The sequence below is a fragment of the Homo sapiens genome, chromosome 6 (assembly GCF_000001405.40).
Source record: "Homo sapiens chromosome 6, GRCh38.p14 Primary Assembly".
In the NCBI taxonomy this organism is placed as follows: Eukaryota; Metazoa; Chordata; class Mammalia; order Primates; family Hominidae; genus Homo; species Homo sapiens.
In genome coordinates, this window is record NC_000006.12 from 41,488,490 (window position 1) to 41,498,547 (window position 10,058).

At 50.1% G+C, this 10,058-nt stretch overlaps 1 long non-coding RNA gene across 2 annotated transcripts in view, besides 4 other annotated features; it reads right to left on the bottom strand.

Annotated features, from left to right (window-relative positions):
- Positions 1-10,058, bottom strand: part of LOC112267957 (uncharacterized) — a 52,113-nt gene that overhangs the window by 35,601 nt on the left and 6,454 nt on the right. The window lies entirely within an intron of this gene.
- Positions 516-605: an enhancer, noted in NCBI's record as "active region_24508". NCBI's record gives its function as "activates an Ori minimal core promoter by ATAC-STARR-seq in GM12878 lymphoblastoid cells {active_cell/tissue: GM12878}" and the evidence as "EXISTENCE:reporter gene assay evidence [ECO:0000049][PMID:35858748]".
- Positions 3,417-4,061: an enhancer, noted in NCBI's record as "H3K4me1 hESC enhancer chr6:41459644-41460288 (GRCh37/hg19 assembly coordinates)". NCBI's record gives its function as "activates a minimal SCP1, AML or CMV promoter by ChIP-STARR-seq in primed H9 embryonic stem cells {active_cell/tissue: H9 hESC(primed)}" and the evidence as "EXISTENCE:reporter gene assay evidence [ECO:0000049][PMID:30033119]".
- Positions 5,408-5,624: a transcriptional cis regulatory region, noted in NCBI's record as "silencer region targeted for CRISPR/Cas9 deletion". NCBI's record gives its function as "negatively regulates FOXP4 gene expression in K562 erythroleukemia cells {active_cell/tissue: K562}" and the evidence as "EXISTENCE:knockout evidence [ECO:0001091][PMID:32094911]".
- Positions 5,441-5,601: a silencer, noted in NCBI's record as "fragment chr6:41461668-41461828 (GRCh37/hg19 assembly coordinates)". NCBI's record gives its function as "represses an EF-1alpha promoter that drives an FKBP-Casp9 reporter gene in an ReSE screen in K562 erythroleukemia cells {active_cell/tissue: K562}" and the evidence as "EXISTENCE:reporter gene assay evidence [ECO:0000049][PMID:32094911]".

The window sequence follows — 10,058 nt, forward strand, 5'->3', positions numbered from 1 at the left end:
CTGCTCACGGTGGGGGGCCCGCCCCCAGCCCCTCCTACACACTTCAGGGGCCTCCAAGGGGCCCCTCCACCATAAGGGCCAAGTCCCTCAGCAGTGGCTCCGCTGCCTGTGACAAGCTTATTACAGAATAGTCCGCTGCAAACAGGAGCCTGATGGGAGGCTGGGACCCCGCTGGCCTTGGCTGGATTGGAGCAGAGGAGTTGGAGAGGAGGGCGGTCCAGGGGAAATATCTTGGTGACTAATGAGCGGGCAATTGAAAGCTGCAGTGTGTCAGTGGGGAGCAGATGGGGAAGGAGGGGAATTCCTGCAGCCTGGCCTCAGAGGTGGTGGCGGGGGCTGGGAGGGAGAAAGTGGGAGGAGGAGGGAGGGACGAGGGGAGCAGTGTGGGGTCAGCAGGTGGGGGAGGAGAGGGAGGGAGAGAGGCCTGGCCTGGCTGTCACCCACAGATGGACACAGCTTCTGGGGCCCGGGTCCAGCAGGAGCAGGGACCAGGTGGTGGGCTGAGGGCAAGGCCACTGGTGTTTTCTGGGTCACTCGGCTTGTTTTCTTCTCCTTTTCTGAGGTCTGTATTTTTCTGCTGTTCCCCTTCTGCCACTTCCTTTCCCTTCTTGCCCTCTTGGTATCTCCTTGCTCATTCTTGCCTGCTTTCTTCCCTGTCTTCCTCCAGGTTCCCCTTCCTCAACCCCCTTTCCCCTTTTTCCTCCAGCTTGGTGTGTCCTGGGAGACCAGAAATAGGCATTCTGCCCAGTCTTCAGTAGGTGTGGGCGGTCCCCAAAATAAACAAAATACTAAACAACACTAAATAAAAGACCCTGGCTGATTTGCTAACAAACACACATGTCCGCTTATCCTAGACACATGAGTGTACACGCACATAGGTGCACACACTCACACGTACCCCAGACACACGCACACACATTCACACTTGCCCAGACACACTTCTATGTGCAAACACAGGCACACTCACACACACACATATTTTCTTCATTACCTCCTCTAATACTGTCTTTTTTCCATCTTGAGTTCAATGTTGTTTTTTGTCTCTTTTCGACCCTCCCCCTCCACTTCCCGTCAATTTATTCCAGCTGTGAAAACCTCTTTCCCATCTCCTCTGTCACCCCAGCAGATAGGTGAGTGGCAGGCAGAGGAGTCCACTCCGCAGCCACCGTTGGTAATCGATCCCAGATGTTGCGCTGGCCCCCAGCCCAGCCCCAGGCAGGGCTCCCGCGCCCGCTCCTACATCTGGGTGTGAAAGGCGAGCTGCAGCCAGGCCTGGGTCTCTGTGGGATCAGGAGCCCGGGCTCAGGGGACACTGGTGGAGAGGGCTGGGTCCAGGTGCTGCAGGAGGGAGGAGGCTGGGGTGCAGAGGATAAGGATGTGGGAGTCCTTGGAGGGAGGCCTAGAGGCATCCGACAGATTGTCTGGGATATTAGACCAGACTGAGAGGGACCAGGGCAGCCCAGAGCCGAGACGCTGAGAGACAGGCCTTCCCTTGGCCCCTTGTCAGCCATTTTATAAAATTATTTTTATAGAGATGGGGTCTTCCTATGTTGCCCAGGCTGGTCTCAAACTCCTGAGTTCAGGCAATCCTCCCATTTCAGCCTCCCAAAGTGCTGGGATTGTAGGCATGAGCCACCATGACCAGCCCACCATTTTATTTTCTTGGAAAAAAAGGTTTCCTGCTGCTGTTTATAAATATATGTATTTGGTAAAATACAAAAAGCCAATTATACCACTCTGGAATTCTCCACATCTATCACTAATGGCAATGAAACCAGCTACAGTTATTGAGTCTTTTAGGTACTTTCTGAGCCATCGTACGTCAATGCATTCTGTCAAGTAATTTTCACAACAATATTATGACATAAGGACTACAGTTGTCACCATTTTACAGATGCCACCACAGAGGTCTAGAGCATCTATTTGGCCCATCTAAAAATGGTGGTACTAGGATTTGAGCCCAGATAATCTGACTCCACTGATGACCACATTAGGCTCTCAGTTTCGGAAGACTTTAAAATCTGAAAAGGTCAGAGCTTGAAGGAACCTGGTTCAAACACTTTCTTTTCTAAAGGAGGAATTAAAGACCAGAGAGAAGTGACTTGCCCAAGGACACACAACAAGCTGGACCCACAGCAGGACTGAATCCTAGGGCTCTTGATTCCTGTTCAGAGCCCTTCACAGCACCACACTTCTGCCTCTGGTTCCCACAACCTTGTCCAAGAGCTGGGCTTCCTGGAGGAGCTGTCTTTTGCAGGGCTTGGAACAAGATGAGAATCATAGGCTAGCACACAGGCAGGAGGAAGTGCTTGTATTGTATTGTATTGTATTGTATTGTATTGTATTGTATTGTATTTTTTTGAGATGGAGTTTTGCTCTTGTTGTCCAGGCTGGAGTGCAGTGGCACGATCTCGGCTCACTGCAACCTCTGCTTCCTGGGTTCAAGTGATTCTCCTGCCTCAGCCTCCTGAGTAGCTGGGATTGCAGGCACGTGCCACCATGCCTGGCTAATTTTTGTATTTTTAGCAGAGACAGGGTTTCACCATGTTGGTCAGGCTGGTCTCGAACTTCTGACCTCATGATCCACCCACCTCGGCCTCCCAAAGTGCTGGGATTACAGGTGTGAGCCACCATGCCCGGCCAGGAAGTGCTTTTAATGATGAGACTTCTATTCAAAGACCAGTGTGTGGGGAAGGCTACGCCACAGTGGGGCTGGCAGACAGCATGGACTGCGTCTCTACTGAGTGCCCAGCCCTGGAATCCCAAAGGGGATAAACTCTGTCCTCAAGGAGCAAACTAACAAAAAAGTGAAAAACAGCACAGGGGAATAGTGGGCGTCATGGGGGTGGGGCGGGGGGGTAGGTGCAGTATGAGCATCTGGGGTAAGAGTGTCAGCAGAGGGAATAGTGAGTGCAAAGGCCCTGAGACAGGAGTGTGCTTAGCCTGCCAATTGTGTCCAGGGAACTGATGGCAAGAGAAAGAAAAATAGGAGGCATGTTAGAGAAGGTAGGCGCAGATCATGTGGGACCCTGCGGCTGCTGTAAGAGCCTGGCTCTTCCTCCCAGTGCAATGGGGAAGCAGGGGTAGGGGTGCAGTTTAAGTAGAAGACTGGCACCGTCTGAATTCTACAGTATCTTCCTGCCACTCTGTGGAAAGAGTACCCCATGGGGGAAGGGGATGCAGGAAGACCAGGGAGGAGGGCCCCACAGTCCTCCCAGGGAGAGGAGGTGAAGACAGGAACCAGGGGCCCACCATAGAGGGGGTGAGAAGTGGTCAGATTCTGGACATATTTTGAAAGTAGAGCCAACGAGATGGCTTAAGAGTTGCATGTGGGGTATGGGAAAAAGAGAGCAGTCAGGTATGACTCCGGTTTTTTTGGTCAGGAATCGCCTTTCCTGAAGTGGGAAGACTACAGAAGGAACAGGCTTGGGAACAGACCAGGTTCATCTGAACATCGAACCTGCTGAATTTGAGGGGGCCGTTATCAATGCCTGATGAGTGATATTAGAGGAACAATCCAGGAGACTGATCCTGTGTCTGTTTAAAATTATAAGGTTTTGCTCATCATGAATTTTTTGTTGCATTGTTTGATTTCTTAAAATATTGCATTAACATATGATTTATCTTGGTTACTGAAGTTTTGTTCCTGCCTCCCTTTAAATTTTGCACCCGAGTTGCAGTCCTGCCTGCTGCAGACAACCATGTGGAATGCGGGGGTTGGGCTGACCTCCCGATTCCTGGCCATTCTCTGTCCACCATGGGCCAGTGATCTTCTGATCAGGATCTGTGACAGGGAGGTGAGCTGAAGAGTGGTTACAGCCAGGAGGTCCTGGACAAGGAGAAGGGCCTGTGTGGATGTGTGGCTGGCTGACCTAGAAGCAGCCAGAAGGGTGTGAGCCCATCAGCCCGCTTCGCCCCACCCGGCCCCGTGATGGATGGCATCTGTCTTCTGCTTTATTAAACTCACGCCGCGGTTCAGCCCTGGATTTGCAAACGGCTTAATAAGCATTTGGAAGGGATCGGGGGAGGGAGGCCGGGATTTCAGGGGGTTACCAAGACCCAGACAGGAAACGGCTTTCACCCTGAGTGGGCCTCAGGAGGGAGTCAGGTGTCCGGGTGGGCGACTAGGGGGAGTATTTGGTTTCACAGAAGGCACTTGGGGCCCCAAAGAAGAAGGGGGTACAGGTCTTTGGTGCCACGCCTCCCCCAGCACTGTTGTTACCACACACTGGGAGCTCACAGCACCTAGAGGGGTGTTCTGGGCATTGCGGAGGGCAAGGGAGTGCAAGGACTGGCCAAGGCTGGGGAGAAACGATGGGGTCAGGGGAGAAGAGGCCACTCCTGTGTCTAGGAGTTCCCAACTGCAGAGGACACAGGGTTACACAAAACAGACACCAATCCCACCAGCCAGCCCCCAGCACTCTCTCCCACCTCTGAATTTCTACGGACTCCATAGCATGTGACATTGGTCTGGAACCTTCTGTGCAGCCCCTGGCATTGGCACAAAATGCAGGTACCAGGTGCCCCTTCTCTCTTGAATGAGGTTTGAAGCTCCCAGCAGCCAGGAAAGATGGGCACACTGAAGTCATCTCTTCACACAGGCAACTTGGGCCCCGCTTACTCAGGGCCGTGCGGGAGCCAGTTCACATGGGCTCGCCAGGGCAGACTGCAGGCATCTTTTCCCAATTCCTGGCCCAGTGAATGCCACGTTAGTAGCTTGAAGTTGGCCATGGTGGAGTATTTACAGGACAGAAATTGGCAAATGCTTTTTTTTCCTCCTGAAGAGCCAACTGTTGAACATTTACCAGCACGTCACTGCCTCACCTGCTCTTCCACCCATAAGAACTGCAAGTCCCTTCAGGTATATAAAACTCCATTTTTCCTCCCAAAAAGGCTGGGGAGCTCCTTCTGAATGGTGAAGACTGGGACTGTCTGTCTCTTATTAATAAGGGTAGTATCCAGTGTGAGAGGCAGTGGTGATTAAGCTTCAACTGTCCACATTCAAATCATATCTCCACCATTTAACAGTTTATGATTTACATTGTTCTTTAGTCTATGATTGGAGGGATTGTTCTGAAATTTAAAAGAAATAATACCTGAAAGATGCTTTGGAACAGGGTCTGCAAACATAAGTAGCCAATAGATGTTCATCCTTACTCTGGGTCTCTGATAGCGCTAAATACTTTATTGTAATTTGAGTCTTACAGCCACCCATATGGAAAACACTTATGTTATTCCCATTTTATAGATAGGGAAAGTGGGATTAACATGTGTTAGGTCCCTTACCTGAAGTCACATAGTGGCAGAGCAGGGATTTGAACCCAGGAGTGTCTGGGTCTAACAGCCCAGCTCCCTCATGCCAATGGTCCATGCCATTGGATCTCTCCACCAGGAGGATAGTGTTGGAAGTCATAGTGATAGCGGAAGTGGCCTTTGGTTTTCCTCCTCTCTCCATCTGGCCACCAGCAGAAGTGATGAGCCTTCTTTCTATATGGCCCCCAAAAGAACCCTGTTCCCCAACACATCCCCTCCACACCTGCTCATGCCCATCAGACAGTCCCTTCAGAGGCTGGGGCTATCTTATCAAGGAAATCCACATTTCCTGTGGGCATTTTCTACTCACCTCTTGTCTTAACACACTACCTTTATCTCCGTGTCAGTCTCTCAGTCTGGAGACTGGGAGACTCCCAGTCTCTTTCCTTCTCTCACCCCAAGCTCCATATCCACCCCTAGTCCTCCAAAGCTATGCAAATGCCCACTCTAGGGTGGCCTAACTCCTCAGGGTCCAAGGCCAGGGTCAGTAGGGGCAGACTCAGGAAGGTCAAGGGCTCAGCAGCCTTCTTACAACTTTCCTTCTGGGTCTCCTTTTTTTCCCCTGCCTCTTGACAATTTCACTTTCTCACTTCCTTCTTCTTGCATTTCCTTTCTTCTCATCCTATTTGTCTCTTTGGTGTCTCCTTCTTTATGTCTTCTATCCCCTCAACTCTCTCTCTGCCTTTGCCTCTTTCTCTCTGGGTCAGACTATTTGGTGGCAAGAGTCCATGTATGTGTGTTTCTCTGTCCCTTTGTTCTTTGTGGATGTCTGTGTGTCTGTCTGTCTCTCCGTGTGTGTCTCTCCCTGTCTCTCCCTGCTTATTCCAACATCCTGAAGAATGTGCATGTGTGTGTGTGTGTGTGTGTGTGTGTGTGTCCCTGTATCTAAGAATCTAACTCTACCTCGATGCCTCCTGCTCTGTGTCTGTCTGTCTGCCTGCTGCTGACTCCGTGCGTCTGTCTTCGTGGCTGTCTCTCGGGGTCTCTCTCCGGCAGCATTCGTTCTTCAGGGCTGCACTCCAGAGGCTCCCGGAGGAGACCCCCACTCACCCCTCCCAAAGTTCACTGCCTTGTCAAACGGAGCTAATCTCCTGCGGGAGGAAAAAGCCTCATTCAAACTGGGCGGGGGGAGGCAGAGGGGGAAGGGGAGGTCTCCTTGGCTGCAGCCTGAAAACACCCCGGCCCATAATACCCCTTTTGTTCTAGGCTGGTGGGAGGGGGTGGGCGGTGGAATGAAAGAAGGGGGATATTAAAGGAGCAGGTGAAAGACATGTGTCTTCGGCAGCCATAGATAAGCGCTTACCCCCTTCTCATCTGACTGAGGCCTATTATCTTCCCACCACAGTCATTACTATTAATATTAAACACCCCCAATCCCGCTTGAAAACAACCTGAAGGGGCTGCTTCTGTCTCCAGCCAGTTCCAAGGGGAAGCCACTGCCCTGACACCTCCCCCTACAGTATTTGACCACCAACCCAGTTTCCCCAAACCCAAAGTCCCCTTGAACTTCCCCATGACCTTCAGCCCCAAGAGTCCCCCTCCATTTCCCCCCCAAGCCCCACCCTGAATCATCTCTGATCACCAAGCCTTTCTGTCTCTAGTGGACCCCCCATTTCAGCTTTATTCCTAAGAATTTCTCTATACCCTAGCTCTCTTCTCTCCACCCCTCCGTATAACCTGAAATGGAAGACAGAAGCACATAGACGTTTGGTTCCCTGGCTTTGACATCTAACAGAAGTGGACTCGCATTCTGATGCTGCCACGTTCAGGCCAGGTGACCATGGTCAATTTCCTTAACGCTTTTTGGGCCTCAGGTTCTCACCTCTAAAATGAGGGCAGGGCAGGGCCTGGCGCAGTAGCTCACGCCTATAATCCCAGCACTTTGGGAGGCCTAGGAGAGTGGATCATCTGAGGTCAGGAGTTCAAGACCAGCCTGGCCAACATGGTGAAACCTTGTCTCTACTAACAATACAAAAATTAGCCGGGCGTACTGGTGCATGCCTGTAATCCCAGCTACTTGGGAGGCAGAAGTAGGAGCATCGCTTGAACCTGGGAAGCAGAGGTTGCAGTGAGCCGAGATCCGCACCACTGCACTCCAGCCTGGGTGACAGAGAGAGACTCTGTCTTAAATAAATAAGTGAATAAATAAATAAAATGGAGGCAAATTATAGTTCCTAAGACATAGGGTTGTTTTAAGGGTTATTGTTTAAAAATGAAAGAGTTCTCAGGACATACCTGATATATTGTAATGGCTCAATAAACAGTGGTAGTAACCGTTGTTACCTGGACAAAAAGCACCTCAGTGCAGCAGGTGTGCCCACTCATTCCTTCTTCAGTCCATCACTGGGCCCCTACTCCGTGCCAACTTCTGTGTGGAGCGCCAGAGAAACAGAGGTATAGAAAACAATTCCTGCCTCCAAGAATTCACAAACGGGTGGCAGCAAGAGACTTATAAACAGGTAAACGCATCACTGTGGTGCTGGGTAATATATACCACAAAAGAAGTTATTACAGGAGCTCTGGGGAAATGGGACAATGAACTGCTCCTCAGTGGCTAATGTTACACCAGTAAAGCACTAATTGCCTATTCAGTATCTACAAGGTGGCAAGGCCAGCTATCGCCATGCCCATATCTACAGTTATAGCTCGCAAGAGGAGCAACTCATAAGTCTTCTTCCAAGACTGGTAGAGGTTTAGCTGGGGCCATGTGAGGGGTCCCCTTCCTCAGGTCCTAGGGCTCTGGACTGCCAGGGCTGGCCTGCAGAACCTGCAGACACAAGAAGGAGGGAAATGAGAGCTCACATTTACAAAGTGTCTCCCTCAAGCCAGGCACCGGGCTGTGTGTTTCAGCATTAGGTCACATACTCCTTCTCACCACTTCTCTACCAACCAAGCATCATTGTACCCATTTCACAGGGGAGCAAACAGGCTCAGAGAGAGGATGTGACTCTCCTAAGATCACACTGCTAGAAAATGGTAGGCAAGATTCTAAGCTTCATCTGTCTGGCACCAAAATCCATGTTATTTCCATTTCTAGTGCATCTCCAACTTTCCAGCCCCAAATCCATCGCTGCCCAGGTATCCTTAACATCAGGGGAGCTTGAACAAATATAGAGGGAGGAGGAAGGGGAGATTCTATAAGAAAAACAGCCTCCTACAAGTCCAAAACTTTTTTGACATCTTGCATCTTATCTTAAAAGCCTATGAGCTTTGAATTTTACTCCATAGTATAACTATGTGTATTATAAATTAAAATAATGTTTTAAATGTCATTTTAAAATGTTCCCCCAAAATCTTGAGATAAAATGGAAGCTCCAAGAAGGTGTGCTAAGTTTATTCTACTGCTTCCTCTGTCCTCTGCGGTAGGGGCCAGGGAGGGAGAGAGAGGGTGTTGTTGTGGACAGCCTTGTCTACTTTTGATAACTACAACCCTTTCTTCATTGAACCCCTGCTCCTCTCTTCCATGCAATTCTGTGGGGCTGCCAATTACAACTCCCCAGCTCCTCTGGCCTCAGGGTGGGCCCATGAGCCAGGTCTAGCCAATTGTCAAACATAACTTTCTTGGACACCTGATTTGTCCAAAAGGTGGGCACATGACCCAATCTAGGCCAAAAGGAGCTCTTCGCTAAAATGTTATAGATGGAGGGTGCTGGGAATAGCAAATCCTCTCTTTCTTCTGAGATGTGAGCATGAAATTGCTGCCAGGCTCTTCTACCCACCTCTCTCTGCCCTCCAGCAGATGAGAGAAGTCTTGACCTCCCTCTCCCTCTCCACGCCCCAACTGCAGTTAGAGAGGAAGATCAATTGCAACAGGAAAAACAAAACAAAACAAAAAGATGAGGCTATCACACACCAAAAAGCATAGCCACCATATGAATGAGATCAAGAAAGAATGCAAGAGAGAAAGCTGAACATATCTTTTGAGGCATGGCAGTCCCTAAACTTTGCCCCCTGCCCCAATGCATGTGCATGCACGTGCATGCACACGCACACACACACACACTCCTATCCTTCCTGGTTATTTGAGCCAATAAATCCCTTCCTTTTGCTTAAACTAGTTGGAGGTGAATTTCCATCACTTGCTCCCTGAGCAATATCTCCTGGCACACTCAGTCCTACTTAATAACTCCCAGCTCCCAGCACACTACAGCCCAGAGAAGGAGCAAGGGCCCAATGGAGTTTGGAATTGGGAAACTCAAGTTATATGTGGAGAAGGTGTCACACTCTCCTACCAGGAACCTTCCAAAGTTCTCCCTCACAGAGCTTTGGGCTGGAAAGGACCTCAAGCAGAGGGCTGGCAGGGAATCTATCCCAACTAGCTCTCTGCCGCCTTCAAAGAAGCCTGACTCAGCCTCCTGCCTTGGAAACCCATCCCAGGACCTCCTGTCTGAGACATCGCAAATCTGTCCAGCTTAGTCAAGCCTGTTTCACCTTCTCCTGCCCTAGTGGAAGCTGGACTATAGCCAATCCCTCCTCTCCTTTTCCATTTCTTCAGAGGCTCAGCCCACTCTTCTCTTTACTATTCTTTTGCCCTTGTTAGTGTAGGTTCATGCATGTTGTGTGTACTAGTTACTGGCTAAGAACACAGGCTCTAGACAGACTGCCTGGGGTCAATCCTGGTTCTGTTCCTTCCTAGCTGTGAGACTTTTGGCAAGTTGCTTACCTTCTCTGTGCTTTGGTTTCCTCATCTTCAAAATGAAAATGATTATATGAATTAATGTATATAGAGTACTTAGAACCATTCC